Here is a 16,568-nt window from a genome sequence, read left to right on the forward strand (position 1 = left end):
TCATGGGCTGGCTGTGGGTATCCAGGTCACGCCCCATCCTGGTCACAGGAGGACGAGGCAGTGGCCCGCCGGGGCCTGCGCTCTCACCTGAGGGTCGGGGGACTGCACTACAAGCCCGGGGGGCTCCCCTAGCATGGCTGCTGTGGCCTTCAGTGCCCCACACACTTGTGGCCCTGGGGTTCAACTCGGACAGGGAAGACAGCAGCGTGGGGCCCACACCCCATCTACAGGAAGCCCTGAGCTGCATGTGGGCGGCCTCATCTTTCCTGCAGGGGAACTGTGGCCTCCCCGGTCCTGGAACCCGTGCGCACCGTGTAGCCCAGCTCCTTGGTCCGCCCCTCCAGCAGGGCGTGCTTCTCGCGGCTGCGGCTCACACGCTCGCCGTCGCCCACGCTCTCTGCGTGCCTCAGCTTCTCGTGCGCAATCTCCAGCTGCTTCTGGTAGTGGTTGTGCTTCTCGATTTTGGCTTCGAAGTGCTTGAGCTCCTCCTGGAACAAGGTTTCCATAGGTGAGTGTTCCCTTCCCGTGCTCGCCACGCCATCTTGTGGTCCCGGGTGAACTGCAAGGACGCCAAAGGACGGCGCCATACCCGGGGCAGGACAGGCCTTGCGGTGACATGGGCAATGAGGGGGCGGCAGCTGGGAGGCCATCACACTAGCAACGGGTCCCAGCCCGCGCCTCCTTGGCAGCCCTAAGCCGACCCCTTCCCTGTCTCTGCAAATGGCACCCCCGCCCCCCGAATCTAGGGGGCCTCCAGCTCGTTCCCAGCCAGACCCCATGTCCAGGGGCTGTGCTTCTGTGGTGGCTGCCTCTGCACCCTGCCCCCAGCCTGCCTGGGCTCCACTGCTGCTGGACTGCAGCTCTGTCCCTGCTCCTGTAGGTGCCCTGCCCTGCCTTGACCCCACGCTCCAGACCCAGGGCCCTCCATGTGGCCCCACCTGCCAAGCCCCATGCACGTGCCTGCGGCCAGCTAAGGTGCCCCAGCCCCAGAGGGAAGCTCCTGACCCCTTTCTGGGGGAGGTGCTAAGGGCCCTTCCTGGGGCCAGGAAAGTCCCAAGTCCTATGAGGGCAGGACCACACCCACCTCCCTCCCAACAGACACCAGCTATAGGGACCCTGGGTGAACTCATGGCCGGATACCATACTCAAGGCTGCCCACCCAGGACCCCCGATGGACTCCCCACTCCTCACAGCCCTGCTGGGTGCTCACCGAGCTGATGAATTCTCCACCCTCAGAATGATCTGGCACTCCACACGCCCCAGGAGCCCCTGCCACCTGAGGTGGTCTCCTTCCCTCCCTGGGCCTCCATCTCAGGAAGTGGTGACACCCCTAAACGATCCCGGTAGTGTCCTTGGTCCCCTCCCCCCAGGCTGTGGCTGGGTCCCGACCAACTGTTGACCATCCACAGGACCCGCACCAAGGCCACGCTCAGACGTGAACACGGACAAAAGAACCAAAGCCCCTCCCTCCAGAGCCTGGCCCCGCCCCTGAAACACGAGTTCCCACGCAGATGAGAAGGAAAACGCAAGCAGGTTCACCGAGTGGTTAAGGAAGAAACTGCGAGAATCTTGAGAGAGAGAGCTTGGAGGAGAGGGCTGCATTTCCTTACCCGGAAACTGCAAGAGAATCTTCACCACAGGAGAGAGCTAGAAGGAGAGGGCCGTGTTTCCTTACCCGGAACGCCTCCAGCTCCTTGTCCGTGAGGTTGGCGGACTGCGCCAGGTCCCACAGGTCAATCACCCTGGGCTCCTCGAACTCTGCAGGGGAGGAGCAAGAGTGGCCTCAGCAGCACCCGGGGTGCACACCACAGCCAGCCCCGCGGCAACCACGCTGAGTGTGCGTGGAGCCTATGAGGGTTTGCAGGCGCGACCTGCATGTGTGTGAAACACGGGTGCGTGCACTCAAAGTCTTATGGGGCACAGAGGGCATCTGCTCAGTAGCTCACATGACCTCGCTGAAATGTGGCTTCTCTGTCCCCTTGGCCAAACAACTGCTTCTCCTTTGTGTCCAGAAACACCTGCCTCCATCAGAGCCTGGGAAGCGCCACAGCCCGCCCTGGCTGCCTCTGAAGCAGGAGGCAGAGGATGGACGTGGCCTGTGTGCAGAGGCTGCCAGGACCTCGGGTGGGGGCACCTGCAAGTTCAGCCAGGTCCAGACGCAGGCACAGGCCGTTTCCCTTCGGTCCTGCTCAGGGTCTCCAGCAGGATGTTGTGCTCGTGAAAGTCAAACATTCGGGCTCCTGGGAGGAGCCAAACAAACCAAGACGGCTCCTGGACCCTGGTGCTCACGAAGGGACGCAGTGAGAGACTCCGGGGCTGTCACCACTCTCCAACCAGGAGTGAGTAGTCCAGAGCCGCCTGCCCATGGAGCCCCGCAACAGTGGCCCCTGCTCCCTCCTCTGCTGACCCCTTCCTGCTCAGGACCCCGAGGACCCTGGGCTGGTGGGGCTTGCTGGAAGGCCCAGGCAGACCCGCAAGAGAACTGCAGGAGCCGCTGGACACAACTGCCTTGGGGACAGCCCGAGGTGGGAAGAGAAGTGTGTGGGGCTGAGTCGCCCTTTCCTGCATGGACTATAGCCAGGCTCATCCGGGTCTCTCCAGCACAGGAACTCAGCAAACTGCATCGCAGGCCTACAAGGTGGTCCAGCCCCCAGCACTACGGCCAAAAGCCTACGGCTGACAGTCACCAGCACCAGGTCAGGCTAAGGGAGCCTGGGTTTGGGGGTGGGTGGTGAGGGGTCTTGCCCAAGGGCACTCAGGTGACAGCAGCACAGCCACCCAAGGGGACCTGGGCCCGCGTGGACACATTTGACTGCTGTGCTGGAGGCTGCCTCTGGGCAGACCATCCTGGAGACGAGGCGGTGGCTCTGCCTGGCACCGGGGACAGAGACCAGCCCTGCTGTCTTATCACCATGAGGGCACAGATGCCATCTCCTGGCGGCTGCTGTCTCCTCGAGCCTAGAGCAGTGCCTGGCGTGCAGCTGGTGCTCAGTGTGCACGTGGAGGATGAGGTACAGAATCGGAAGCTGCGTGAGTGAGGCCAGCAGGCTTCTGGTACACCCTGCACAAGGCTCTGGCCCGGGTACGGGGCAAGAAGCAGTGGTGCAGAGCCTGGCCACTGAGGGCCTGCAGTGGAGGGAGATGAGCTGCTGAGACGGAGCCACAAGCTCTGTGGCCTCAGCGGGCGTCCTGCCCCTGCCGGGCTGAGGGGGACTGATGGACGGTGTGGGTGGCATGAGATGGAGACGGAGCTATGTTTGACGAGTGGTCTCTGTTCTTGGCCAACAGCAGCACGGGAGGGGCCGTGCTGCTGAGGCTGGGGAGACGCTGGGAAGGGCTGCTCCCAGGCCCGCTGCCGCCACTGCCCTCTGCTAGTCTCCAGGTACAAGGCTGGGGACGGCGAGTGACCTTCACGGAGCAGCTCCTGGGAGCGAGGCCTGTGACCACCCGTGGGTAGACTGAGCGCGCCGAGGGTCTCCGCTGCGTCCACAGGCCCAGGTTCCCGTCGCTACAAGCACCTGCCTGCTTGTCCCCAAAACACAACCAGAGACGGCCCCACCCTCGGGAACCAACAGTCCCGGGCGGGCACTCACCAGCCTCAGTGCTGTAGCCCTGGTGGCTGACCCTGCGCAGGCGGTCCAGGCCCTGGTTGATGCTGCGCAGCTTCTCCTTCAGCTCCGTGTGCCTGCTGTGCAGGACGCTGCCCTTGATGTCGCTCAGGTCCGAGGGGCTAATGACGTTCTCGTGGATTTCTGTAAAACCGAAGGCAGGACGCCATGAGGCTGGGAGTCCTCGCACTGCCTGCCCAGACCACTGTCTAGAACGCCCACTGCTGGGGAGCTCAAACTCGCTCTCATTTCTGGGCTGAAAATGTCCCCCTTCCGCGGTCCTGCAGCGCCGCAGAAACGACCGTTGGCACAGCTTCCTTTCCAGGCGAGACAGGCGAGACGCCGGGACACGCGCACCAAGTGGCGCCTGGCGGTGACAGCTGGGGCACCAGGTCCCCTGGGGGCTGACTCTGGACCCCTGCCCTGCCCCCTCTCTGCTGGGTCACCCTCCATTTTACTCCAGCTTTGTGGGGTGGGAAAGTCACACATTTGGGGAGGGTCACGAGTCCAGAATGAAGGACCCATCAGCGAAGCTCAGGTCTGACAAAGGCAGCAGCTGTGCCCATAGTGGGGGCAGGCGCCGGTGAGACTTGGTTCATCCAATGCAGGCAGGCGACTCCCAGAGCCTGCCTGCACAGCAACCTCCCCACTCACAAGTCCGGTGGAACCCTGGGAGGGCGTCTGGTGCCGCCTCCCTGCCCCTGCTGTGTTCCTGAGGGGAGCTGAGGCTGCCCACTGAGCACAACGAGCCTCAGGTGCAGGAGGGGTGGGGGGCAGGAGGGGGTGGGGCAGAGGGCAGGAGGGGGTGGGGGCGGGGGGCACCTTCGGTCCTGCTCAGGGTCTCCAGCAGGACGTTGTACTCGTGAACTTTCTCTTTGTGATGCAGGAACTCCCGCCAGAGCTTGTCCAGTTCTTCGCCGGAGAATTTCCCAGAGGTCTTCGCCTAAGAGGGAAACAAGGCCTGGAGTGAACCCGCCGCGGGCTCGTGTGGCCAGGGCCGCTCTTCAGCCAACCACTCCTCATGGCCAGGCAGGCCCTTGCCTACGTGAGTGCCAGGCCAGGTTCTTGGCCTCACGAAGGGCAGGAAAACAAAAAACAAACCGGAGAAGAGCTGCCGGCAGGCAACCACCCTTCTCTTGGACGTGTCCAGGCTCAACAGGGGACAGCTACCGAGCTGGCTGGGGTGGGGAGCAGAAGATCCCAAGGAGGGGGACAGGGCAGCAGCCCGGTGACCCCGGGCTTGCCTGGCTCTCCCGGCTGCAGGTGGTGAGGACAGCAAGGCCACCTTCCTAGGGGGACCTCTGCCAGCCCCTCATTGTCATCCCACCTGCCTCCTGGTTGTGAGATGACGTGGCTCACACACGTCCAGGGAGGCCACACAGGGCCCTCTCTCCCTCTCTGCCCCCTTCTACCGACTCCATCTCTCCTGGCCAAGGACATTGAGCTGAGACTGGGCTAGTACAAGAAGTCTAACTGTTGACCCCAAATCAATGTGATCCAGAGAAACTGTTCTGGAGCAGGAGCCGCTGGAAATGGGGGAGCTGCGGCAGGTAAACACCCTGCCACAGCCCACCAGGCCCTGCTGGGTCCCAGCGCCTGGCCCCGCACCCTTCCCAGGCACAGGGTGAAAGCCCAGCCCCACACACGAGGGCACCTTTCTAATCACAGAGGCACGTCCACGGCACCACTCACTACATTAAAAATCCGACACGGAGTAAAGAACGCAGCCCATGCTACGTCACCATCCCGTAACCACACGTGACCTGAGCTGAAGGTCTGACAGCTGCAGGCCAAAGGCCAAACAGAGCTCCTTTACTCAAAGAGCAAGGAATCTTCTAAACAGGAAAGCTGAAAAGATTCACAGAATGACAGTGGAATGGCTTCCTTAGGAAGCCACCGTCTTCCTGAGACTTTCCCAAACCCCGGCTCCCATGCAGAGCAGAGACTGCCCCTCACAGCCCCCGCCTTAACACTCAACGTAACGGCACCAATTCTGCAAGGTATGCAAACAATCGAAGAGTACCTTGTGCCACAGCTTTTCCAGCCTGGGGTCATCCAGCCCGTCTTCCTGGGTGCCACTGAGGGAGTTGCTGGTCACCTGCCGAGCGTCCTTCTTTCCGTCCAGACCATACTTGGCCAAGATGACTAGGAGAGAGGGGAGGTTCTATTTGATATGGTTTCCTGTGAAAAACAGTCAAAAGCCAACACATCTGGGTTGCCACGGTGGGTGAGACAGGTTTGCCTCTCATTTTCCAGTAGTTTCCTTTCACCTGTTTCCTGGATGACCACTGGAGATCTGGGGAGAACAAGAATGTAAACAAGCGTGGGGTCTGTGGTCTCCCAGCACTTAGGAACGGGTCTGGCGACTCACGGGACACCCCCAGGACCTCCCTCTTTCCTACCAGGGACACGCCGGCTGGAGTCCTCCATCAAGCTGTGTCCCCCTGAGACGCAGCTGTCGAAAGCAGCTGGTGGGCTGGGCTGTAAGAGTGGTTACCGATTGGCCCGTCTTTAGCGACCAGCTGCACAGATTTTCAAGAACAAAATTTGCAGCCTCACCTGCTGCCATAGGGCAAAAACTCTAAGGACCACAGGACAGAGGCCACCTGCAGACTGTGCAGGGTGGCAGGGCTTTCTGACAGCACACATCTTATATTTATTGGGAGGAAAAACAGTTTCTAAAGGAGAAACGTCAGTGTCAGCAGCTTCTAACAAAAAGTTACTGGTAGCAGCCAGGAGGAATAAATAGTCTGCAGTGTGCTGTGGCCCAGCCACTCGGGGAGCCCTCTAGGATCTGCCCACGTGGTGCTCCCCTAGCCCCGCTTCCCTAGGGGGGACTCGGCATCTGTGGGCTGTGTCTGTCACCACACGCTGCCACCAACATGATATGAAAGCAGGCGCTCGACGCGGGCCCTGGTGCCAACAGGACAAGTCCTGCACTTGGGATGTGAGAGCAGAGCCTGGGGGCTGGCCTCGCCCTCCACGGCAGTAGCTCTCCCCAGGCCCCAATTCCCACTTCCAAGTCCTGTGCTGTGGCTCTGTGTGACAGGCCCTCTACTAGGTCCCCTGGAATCCGGGGCCCATGCAACCACACCCGCCTCCTTAGCGGGCGGTGGGCTTGCCTGCCCGCCCTTTCCTGGGGGCTGGGGGAATTCTCCCAGGGCCCCGCCTCCCACAGAATGGGGTCCTGCCTTCCCCTCCGGGCCGAGAGGGCCCCGAGTAGGCCTCTCCCAAGATGCTGGGCTCGGAGCCTCCCTTCGCCTCACACTTCCCCTCACCCCGAGGACCTCTTCACCCAGATGGTGACTCCCGGACCCCAGCGCCTCCTCTGGGCCTTCACCCGTGACCCTACTGGACAGAACTACTCCCAGCGGGGCCTCCACATGCTCTGGGCTCAGCAGGCCCCACCCCCGCACCTCTCCCAAAGGTCCATCCTCTGTCACTGCCAGCCCTGGGGAGTGTCCCTGCTCGAGGGACACCCTGAAAGCCTCAGGCCTCCTTTCTCATCGACACCACCCTGGCCTCTGATCCCTCCTGTCTCACTCTGTCCGGAAGCCTGGGCCATGGGGGTCTCAAGGCCACACGCAGCATGTGCTTCTTGTGTTCCAGCCTGGAAGCGCTTGTGATCTTCCTAAGCGTGAAAAACCAGCCTGTGGTCTTGTCCCTGAGGAAAGCCGTCTCTCCTGACAGCAGTCAAGAGCTGCTGGCGCTGGGCACGGGTCCCGTAGATGCATGCTTCAAAGCTCAACCACATGCTGGGCCTGTCTTCCATGGCAGGGAATTTATACCTGAAATAACTATTTTAGGCCGGGCGCGGTGGCTCATGCCTGTGATCCCAGCACTTTGGGAGGCCAAGGCAGGAGGGCCGTCTGAACCCAGGTGTTCAAGACCAGCCAGGGCAGCAAAGTGAGACCCCATCTTTTAAAATAAATAAATAATTAAATAAATAATACCGGCTGTGGGGGATGAGAAAATAAATGAAATAAATACATACAAAAATACACAAACTTTTTAAAAAAGTGGCCTGGATGCCTCCTGGCCTTAGAAAGCCAGTGCCAGGCCTGCCTGTGAAGGCCGTCCTGCCCAGACCCCCAAGTCCAGCCACTGCTCAGCAGCACTGAGGTCCCACCCCCAGGCCGTGCACCCCTGAGCCCGAGAGGAGGAGAGGGGGAGACGGGGAGGGTGGGCCATGTCCTGGGGCTCTGAGGCTAGCCTGGCTCAAGCCTTCCTAGTTGGAGCCAAAAGCTCTGAGCCAGAGCCCAAAGTGGCTGGTCAGACCCCATCAAAAGGCAGAGTACCCACGGCTGCGATCAGCAGCAGGGACTATGGAAGGTTCTGGATTCTGGAGGTGCTGGGTTCTTCTGCATGGAATGGAGTCACAGAGCACTGAAGCTGGAGGCGGCCTCAGGAGCACCGAGCCCTTAGAGCTCCTGGGGAGGATGAACACGGCCCCACACTCCCTGCCTGGGGAGGACGGACGTCATCCCACACGCCCTGCCCGGGGAGGACAGACGCCACCCCACACTCCCTGCCTGGGGAAGTCGGACGCCGCCCCACACCCCCTGCCTGGGGAGGACAGACGCCGCCCCACACCCCCTGCCTGGGGAGGACGGACGCCGCCCCACACCCCCTGCCTGGGGAGGACAGACGCCGCCCCACACCCCCTGCCTGGGGAGGACGGACGCCGCCCCACACTCCCTGCCTGGGGAGTGAAGTGGCCCTGGGGGCGCGGTGGGGGTGAGGACAGGAGCGAACCCCAGAGCAGAGCAGGGCAGGGCAGAGTGGAGCGTGGCCCGTCTGTCTCAGGGTGGACCTCAGCATGGAGGGTGCCAAGGGCAGGCACACCTGGCTATGGCTGGTCCCCCAGGTATGGTATCACACTTGATAATGGCACGGGGGACCTCGGGGGTCCAGGGACCACACCCAGAAGATGGCGGGGAACTGGCCAGGACGAGCCTCTTTCCTGAGTGTGGGCAGGGTCTGCTTCTGGGACGCCGGCTCCTAGAGTCCCACTAAGTTTTCTGCCAGGTCACTAGGCAATGGCAGAAAACAAGACAGCTCCACTTGGGCCACAGACCTGGACACCCTGCAAGGACACTGCCTGGCCTGCAGGAGGGAGCTGGTTCTTAGCCCACTTCTGTGCCCCCTGCAAGCTACTCTGTCTCCTCCAGGCCCCGAATGCTGCCCTGCTGCATAGCCAGTCCCTTCTTCCTGGGGGCACCTCCAGGACAGGCTCTTTCTTGGCCCTTGGGAATGGCCCACTAGACACGCTGGTGGGGACGCAACCATCCAGAATTGTTTCAGCCATGTCTCTCTTCCCCAGGCAGTCCCTGCCGCCGTATCTTGGCTTACGTCTCAACCAGACTCTTGAACATGGTGGCATAAACCAGCAAAAATGAAGCCGGCCCTCTGTCTTTAACCCGGGCGCAGCCACATGACATGTCTGCTGATGCCTGCCAATGGGAGAAGAGGGGTGGCTGGGAACAGACCACCTGCTCAGGAGTCAGAAAACCCTGACTCCAAATCTTTGCTGCACTACTCGGCTCTGCAACTCCAGACAAATCACCCTCTCTGAGCCTGTCAAATGGGACGACAACGAGTTTTGAGGAGTAGGTGTTAGAGCATCAGGCCTAACGAAGGAACTCCGTAGACACCTCCTCTCTTTACCAGAGACAACCCGGGCGCTGCAATGCCTGAGGCCATCAGCGCGTGTGAAAAGCAGGGCTACAGCAGACTCCAGACATGGCCAGGGCTCTGGGGCCACCCTCACGACAGCAACAAGTGCGATGGCAGCCACCCCCACCCCCACCACAGTGGGGAGTATCCCACTTGGTTCACACCACCGTCCTGTGAGACAGGAGGAGGAAACGGAGGTGGGGGGCAGGGGACTGTGCCGGGGGCCCAGGTCACACAGGGAGCAGCGGGGGAGGGGATTGGGGAAGGGGTGCCTGGGGTCAGGCCCAGGGGCAGCAGTTGGGTGGAGGCACAGCAGCTCCTAGGGCTGCTACACATAGCTGACAGCAGGCAGCTGAGCACTCGACTCTCCGGAGCAGCCCCAACCCCAGTCCCACGGGCCCACCTGGTGTGCGTCCTCTGCCCGCCAGTGCCCTGCCGACGGGCCCGTGGTGAGGGAGGATGGCGGAGGAGAGGGGTCCAAAAGGAACAGTCGCAACTCTGTCATTTAAAACCCTCCCGGCTCTGAGGACACACCTGTCTTCCGTATGCTGGTACCAAGCAGGCGACTGTCCTGCCTCTTCTTGAATACCCACAGGGACGAGGACTCACTAAGCGCATGACAACCAAGTGTCCATTCTGATGACATCTGGAGTATGTCCCCAAAACTTCAAGATGCTAGGGCAGACCTGCTTCCTCCTCTGGGTGACAGAGCCTCCTGCTGTCCTCCGGCCCCTTCCTGCACCCAGAGCCCCTGCCTTGGCCCTCCCTCTGGCGTGCCAATGGCATCTGTGACAGCAAACTGAGACCACGGCCAAGGGCGCATCTGTGCTCGGAGGATAGCCCCCCGCAGGCTGTGCCCAATGGGCCCCTTGGCCAAAAGCCAAGGAGTCAGAGGCGTAGCCCACAGCACTGAGGCGAGCAGCCACCATCCCTCATGAGGGTTAGCCCCCCCAAACACTGAAGCCAGTGGCCACCTCCCTCATGAGGGTGAGCCCCCAACACAAATCCTAAGCTTTCTGGGCACTCAGGATGCTCGGGGAAAGGCTCATTTTGGATATCCAGATTAAGCATAATGCAAATATTCCCAAATCCAAAAACAAAATCCGACATCCAAAACACTGCCGCTCTCAAGCATTTAGGAAGAGGGATACTCGACCTGCATTAGGAAAGAAACAAACGTACCATTGAGGTTGCGTATGAGTCTCGCTTCCTTCTCCCCATCTTCGTCCAAGCCGTCAAGCTTTAGTTTCTTCCAGGCGAGTTCGTCCCTCTCCTGTATCTTCAGATCAGCGTGGAGCTCGGCCAGCCTCACGGGAGGAAGATGCAGCTGCGAACGAAGGGGAGGAGCCTGTGAGCCACGAGCAGGACGGACCAGGACACAGCGAGAAACTGACCTCGGAGGAGGCTGGCCACCGGGAGGTTCTGGGAGACCAGGAAGAGGTGGAGTCAGGGTCACTGTCAGCAGGATTCAAACCCCACAGGTTTAGACAAGAACTCAACATGGACACCAGTCTCTAGGCCTGTCTGTATACACGATCCGGAAACCCCAAGTCCATCGGGGGCTCCCCACCAGCAGCGGCTGCTCATTCCTGTCCGGCTGTAACAGGACACCCCACCCTAGCACCTGAGGACAGTCATCGGGCACTCGGATAAACAGAGCAGGAAGAAGATACCCACTGCATTACCATTGCAGATACATATTGCAAGGACACAGACACCTAGAAGTTCTTTTTTAAAAAAAATCACTGTAATCTCAGATCTGCCCCATCTTCATTTCCCAAAGACCCTCAGTCACCACCTCTCAAGTGTACCATGATCCGAACTGTCTTGCTGAGACGGTTCTTACACAGCCCCAGATCCTTCTGGAGCAGGAATCTGTCACCCTCTCACTTACCTGCTGGCGTAGACCACACAGGCAGCGCCCCGGAACGAGCTGCCGCACTGGGGCTGAGGAACTTCCCCGCCCCACCCTCATCCCTCTCCGCAGGGCAGGCCACGCTTCATTCATCCCACCCCTGCCCTCCCAGCTCTGGGACCCTGGGTGAGAGAAGGAAGCAAGTGAGGTGACCGCTGGGCACACTGCTTTTTGGTTGCAAAGACAGGATTTAGGCCAAGAGTGTCCCCACGTCAGAAAGACTGGGCCAGAATGCCAGGCGGCCGAGGCAAGCAGCAGAATGAAACCCACCGGCCAGCTCTCATCAACTCTGGCCTCGGGGCTGGCCCGGCCGCTAAGAGGCGTGCGCTGGGGCAGGCTAGCCCTTCAGGGAAGCGAAGGCTCTTCCGTGCAGAGCAGAGTGGCCCAGCTGTGTGAACCAGAACGTGTCATGAGGTGGGACCAGGGTTCACGGAGACAGGGTGCTGTCCCTGGCTAACTGGGGAGGCTGCACCGCATGCCTGTAGTGACGCCAGCGCATTAAAGCCTCTGTGGAGTCCTGCAGCAAAGGAAGTGCTCGGCACTGTGCAGTGCAGATCCCCAAATCTCTCGGCTCTCAGGAGGGTCCCCTTCCCTGAGCACCTGCATTCTCACATTCCCCCGGGGCTGGTCCTCATGAGCTGCCCGTGGCTCTAGGAGGGAACCCCAGCTCCTGCCTCTGAGCTCCAGGTGCCCATCACCTAACGCCTGTCTCTGATCATGTGTGTTTAAATATGGAGTCTGTTTTCCCTTAGACGTTTGAAATATTAATCTTTTATCTATATTTCATTAGCTATTTTCTAACATAAATACAACACAAGCTAGTATCCAAAGTATGTGTGTTATATTTCAATAAAGTTTACGTAAAACAGTGAACATCCCCACGAAGCGTCAAGAGCCGGCTGCCTTCCCAGTGTCCCGCAGCCCGCGCCGCCTTGTGGCCCACACTGCCTTGCAGCCCGAGACCTCAGGAGGCCCAGCCCTCAGGTCCGCGCCGCGCAGGGGCACACGTTTCTTTCAAGACTCGCACGAAGCCAATTCTGTGTGTTTGGCACACCCCACACTCCGGAACCTCCTCGCCTCACTCTGCCTGTATCTAGACTGAGCCCATCCTGCTCCCTGCAGCTCAGTCTGTGTTGGGCCTGGGAGGAAGGAGACCCCTGACCACAGGCCCTGTCTCCAGCTGGGTGCTGGGGCTGTCAGCTCCGCCCTCTCTTCTCTCAGAAGCCCAGCCTGACTCTGTGGCTGCCCTAGCCACACAGGCCCCACCCTCCAGGAGTTTAAAATTTAGTTAGGGATGAATTCAGATTACTGAGCCAAGATCCCCAATGGTAAAAAGATAGCAAACGGTAGGCACAAAATGAATGGCAGGGCCTAGGGCAGAGGAAAGCTTCTAATTCTCTAGAAGGTTCTCTAACCCTTAGTGGGTGGTCCCAGGACAGTCTTTTGTCTGGGCCCTCCTGGTAGATGCTCTGCGCCCCCATCTCTGCAGGGGCTGCTTTCCAGGATTGTCCCAACCTGAAAACCCTTTCCCTGGCAGCCTTCGACACACCCCTACCTGTGTGCCTCTTCCCCAGCCAGCCCCATCCACCCAGCCAGCCCCATCCACCCAGCCCCTTCTCCCCAGAGCTCCACCCCGTGCCCCTCTGTGCCCTGGACACTTGCCTGCGGCGTCCACTGGAAGGCCCTAGGAGACCTGAGGTCTGATCTGAGCATTCCCAGCAGGAGGACCCAGGACAATGAGGCACCTGAGTGACGCTGAACTCTCAGGAGGGGCAGTCGGTGCCTCAGGAGGAGGGGGAGCCCACACCTGCCTATCTTGTTTGTGACCCAAACTCCTGGAGGAACAGGTCTGCTTCCATCTCTACTTCCCCGTGGCTGCTGCTACCCTGTAGGCGCCTTACTTACCGTGCTGCACTGCCCGGGAGGGTCTGAGATGCGAGGCCCACAGTGATGGTCTGAGCCAGAAGCAGCACCCTGGGGCAGGCAATTCAGGCCCATGCTCTCAAGTGTGTGCTGGCCTTGAGGGGCCCCGGGTCTGCCCTCTTTGGCTGCAGGGGAGAGGATGCAGGTGTCCCATGACTGCCCATGGGCTGCCTGCTGGAAAGCGGAGCTGAAGACCCAGGGCTGCTGAAGTCCTGGGCCCATCCTGGCAGGCTCACAGCCAGGCACCAACCCCTGTAACTTGCAGTCCTCACTGGCTTCCTGTCTGCCTCCCTAGGGTGCTGGGAGAATCAAGGGCAGGTGCTCTGTGGGCTGTAAAATCTGCAACCCACAGGGGAAAGTCATTTTCTCCCTCTGATTCCCCAACTCTCAGGCAACAGGGGGTCTAAATTTCACACCGCATGTCTCACAAAAGCCAGCTCCCTTTCCCCTGATGTGTGGCTGCCAGTGCTCAGCGCAGAAGGGGCCAGCCTGGCAGCACCACCACAAAAAGCAGCCCCAGCTCTGTGCAGAGGAAGACCAGCAGGTCACGTGCAGACCCCAGACCCCACGTCTGGATTCTTTCACCTCTCTCAAGTTAAATGTTAACGCATCAAGTTAGAAGTACCCTGTGGAAACCAACTGCAGAAAAGAACCTGTCAAACATGAAGCAGCGAGGCAAATCATCAACAACCAGGGTATACATGCAGGCAAGAAAGCCGGCTCAGCTGATCAAACGACGCCGGTCCTGTGTCCCCAGACACAAGCAGAGCCGACCGTGTCCTCCTGACCAGACCCAAGGGCCCAGCACTGCTTGGGACCTCAGCAGTGGCCCTTCCCCACACAGCACCACCCGCGTGCCAGCAGAGCTTTCTGGAACTTTCCAATAACCTGCTGCTGCTTCTCAACGCCCCAGGAAACCCAGGCCAGGGTCCACAGCTACACCACTGGTGTCAACCTGCACACACCGCACAGTTCAGGCTGGGCAGGTTCCAATGCCACCAGGACCGCCAATGGACCACCTCTTCAGAGGGCATGTGCCATCCTCCCAGCGCTCACCTGAGTGCCCGCGCCAGACTGCAAGGCACCCACCATGAGGAGCAGGCTGTGGCGGTGACCAAGGCTTCCTGGCACGCTGTACCTGTCTCACCACGGCAGGTGGCATGCACTGTCCCAGCCCAGCCACTGTGCCCCAGCTCCTTCCACCTGAGCTCCGTGGACAAGGGCACAGCCGTACCCGCCTTGAGCTGCTGTGAGGTCATGCATTGGCCTGGCGAGTCCTAGGTGCCCATGGAGGCCACTGGCTGGCCCATCCTCAGAGGCCCTTCTCAAGCCAGGGGGGACGCTTGAGAGCTGGGGTGGGGCTCTGAGGGCTCCTCTCTGCAGACCTCAGTTTCCACTCGTCAGACCTCTGAGAACAAGATGCTTCACACACTCTCATTGCAGTCACCATTCACGTCAGAACTAAGGACTGTCTGCGTGCGGTGCCTCCTGGGACTACACCTGTAATCCCAACACTTTAGGAGGCAGAGGCGGGAGGATCACTTGAGCCCAGGAGTTCGAGACCAGCCTGGCCAACATGGTGAAACCCCGTCTCTACTAAAAATATAAAAATTAGCCAGGCATGGTGGTGCATGCCTGTAATCCCAGCTACTCAGGAGGCTGAGGCACGAGAATCGCTTGAACCTGGGAGGCGGAGGTTGCAGTGAGCCGAGATCACGCCACTGCACCCCAGCCTCGGCGACAGAGTGAGACTCTGTCTCAAAAAAAACAAAAAAACAAAAAACCAAAAAAACTAAGGACCTATGGCCAAGGACTCCGAGCTCATGGCACCGTGCAGCCCAGGCCAAGAGGTACACGAGTGTGTCCCTGAGCGCCGCAGCTGGACCATGCAGACCCTGGAGCTTACTCCTCAGCATCAACACAACACACAGAGCTCTGAAGAGGCAGAGTCCTCAGAAGTCGTCTGTGAGCACAAGGGCTCTGCATGGCCTCTGACCTCCAAAGCTCCAGGGACAGCCTCTGCTCAGGAGTCTTGCAACACAGTGGAGCCCGCCTGTGAAAGAGGAACTGGGAGAGTCACAGAAAGTCAAGATTCAAGTTGCTGGAGAGGATGAAGCAGCACCCCCCTGGCCGGGTCTCGCCTGATGAAAGCGGGTCTCAGCATCTTCTTGGCGGCAACCTCAACGCAGGTCTCACAGCCCAAGCCCATCAAAGGCAAAGGTTTCCTGAAACGCTCCCTTCACCCTATGCCTACTGACACACTACGCAATCCTATATGCCAGGATGTGGCTTTACATGCAGAAAACAGGGACACGATGTTTTCATGAAGCAAACCAAAGAAAGGACAAGACCGTCCTGGCTGCTGAGCGCAGGTCGCAGGAGGCTGAGAGCAGTGGCTGCAGAGCCGGGCAGGAAGTGCTTCTCTGAAAAAGCAGCCCTCACCTCAATTATCTTCCAGGGGGCGATCCAAGACCCCGTCTCCGTCTGATACCTACCTAGAGCGGCGAGTCAGGTGGGGTAAGAAGCCGACTGGAGTGACTATTTGCACGAACAATTCTCTCCCCCTACGTTTGAACTGACTGTGGCTCCTCCTGCCTCCTGACCACCCTGGGCCCTGGCACGCTCGGCAGAAAGAGCCACAGCACAAAGACCACCCGGGATGCACTACCGCCACTGAGAACCTCAAAAAGACCCGGACGGGTCTGACGCCTGCACACTTGGCTCCAGGATAGAACACCCTCACAGCACCGCCACCCTCCAAGCTTCCGTTATCTGGAAGGAAAATCAGGACGAATGGGCTCTGCAGGCCTGCCTGCCATAGTACCAGGCTCTCTGGAATGGGGGAAGACACACAAAATCCCCCAAAACACCCTCACCCCCGAAGAACTTCACGTTCTGTTCAGCAAAAAAGACTTGCCCACACAACTAGAACTTCAGGACTTAAAGGGACCAGAAAGATCATCTAGTCCAAGGCTCAGTCCAAAGTGGAGGTGAGCAGCTCGCCCTACCATGGTGCCCAGTGAACCTCAGGGAGGTTTAGGAGACATGACCCAACCCAAGACTGAAACTGGTCAGGCGAGCACCCAGCACCGGGGGACAGTGCAGGGGCAGCCCGAGGGTAGCTGGACCAGTGCAGGGGCAGCCTGAGGGCAGGTGTATTGCTGCAGGAGGCCTGGGCTGACAAAGACAGAGGACCAGCTGGAGGTGGCTGGAGGTAAGGTGGAGCGCACCAGGGCGGCCCTGCAGAGCAGGTGGAAGACTTGGGCCAGCACCCAAAAGGGAGCCGCTGGGGTTCCTGGGTCCGAGTGCACTTCCTCAGCGCCACCTCCAATCGGTCAGGGAGTCTATTTCGGGCTCCCCATTCCTCATGGGGAGGGGGGACTCCACCCACTCAACAGATGCCCAGTGCAGTGGGCACGGGGAGGCAGCACTGCATCCCGGCTGCT

At 60.0% G+C, this 16,568-nt stretch overlaps 1 protein-coding gene across 2 annotated transcripts in view, besides 4 other annotated features; it reads right to left on the reverse strand.

The window, feature by feature from the left end:
• Positions 1-16,568, reverse strand: part of LRPAP1 (LDL receptor related protein associated protein 1) — a 28,811-nt gene that overhangs the window by 10,829 nt on the left and 1,414 nt on the right. For both annotated transcript variants that reach the window (NR_110005.2, NM_002337.4), the window contains exons 2-7: positions 10,467-10,611; positions 5,632-5,753; positions 4,431-4,551; positions 3,594-3,752; positions 1,676-1,758; positions 312-488 (exon numbers count right to left, since the gene is read on the reverse strand). Coding sequence is in view for 1 of the 2 variants with exons in the window: in NM_002337.4 (NP_002328.1) it covers positions 312-488; positions 1,676-1,758; positions 3,594-3,752; positions 4,431-4,551; positions 5,632-5,753; positions 10,467-10,611 (807 nt within the window). In the remaining variant the exon portion in view is untranslated. The remainder of the gene's footprint in view (positions 1-311; positions 489-1,675; positions 1,759-3,593; positions 3,753-4,430; positions 4,552-5,631; positions 5,754-10,466; positions 10,612-16,568) is intronic.
• Positions 289-1,488: an enhancer, noted in NCBI's record as "P300/CBP strongly-dependent group 1 enhancer chr4:3516456-3517655 (GRCh37/hg19 assembly coordinates)". NCBI's record gives its function as "activates an origin of replication core promoter dependent on BRD2, BRD4, P300/CBP, MED14 and CDK7 cofactors, with strong dependence on P300/CBP, by STARR-seq in HCT116 cells {active_cell/tissue: HCT116}" and the evidence as "EXISTENCE:reporter gene assay evidence [ECO:0000049][PMID:35650434]".
• Positions 1,754-2,373: an enhancer, noted in NCBI's record as "H3K4me1 hESC enhancer chr4:3517921-3518540 (GRCh37/hg19 assembly coordinates)". NCBI's record gives its function as "activates a minimal SCP1, AML or CMV promoter by ChIP-STARR-seq in primed H9 embryonic stem cells {active_cell/tissue: H9 hESC(primed)}" and the evidence as "EXISTENCE:reporter gene assay evidence [ECO:0000049][PMID:30033119]".
• Positions 12,824-13,714: an enhancer, noted in NCBI's record as "H3K4me1 hESC enhancer chr4:3528991-3529881 (GRCh37/hg19 assembly coordinates)". NCBI's record gives its function as "activates a minimal SCP1, AML or CMV promoter by ChIP-STARR-seq in naive H9 embryonic stem cells {active_cell/tissue: H9 hESC(naive)}" and the evidence as "EXISTENCE:reporter gene assay evidence [ECO:0000049][PMID:30033119]".
• Positions 13,715-14,604: an enhancer, noted in NCBI's record as "H3K4me1 hESC enhancer chr4:3529882-3530771 (GRCh37/hg19 assembly coordinates)". NCBI's record gives its function as "activates a minimal SCP1, AML or CMV promoter by ChIP-STARR-seq in naive H9 embryonic stem cells {active_cell/tissue: H9 hESC(naive)}" and the evidence as "EXISTENCE:reporter gene assay evidence [ECO:0000049][PMID:30033119]".

This window comes from Homo sapiens, chromosome 4, assembly GCF_000001405.40.
Source record: "Homo sapiens chromosome 4, GRCh38.p14 Primary Assembly".
Lineage (NCBI taxonomy): Eukaryota > Metazoa > Chordata > Mammalia > Primates > Hominidae > Homo > Homo sapiens.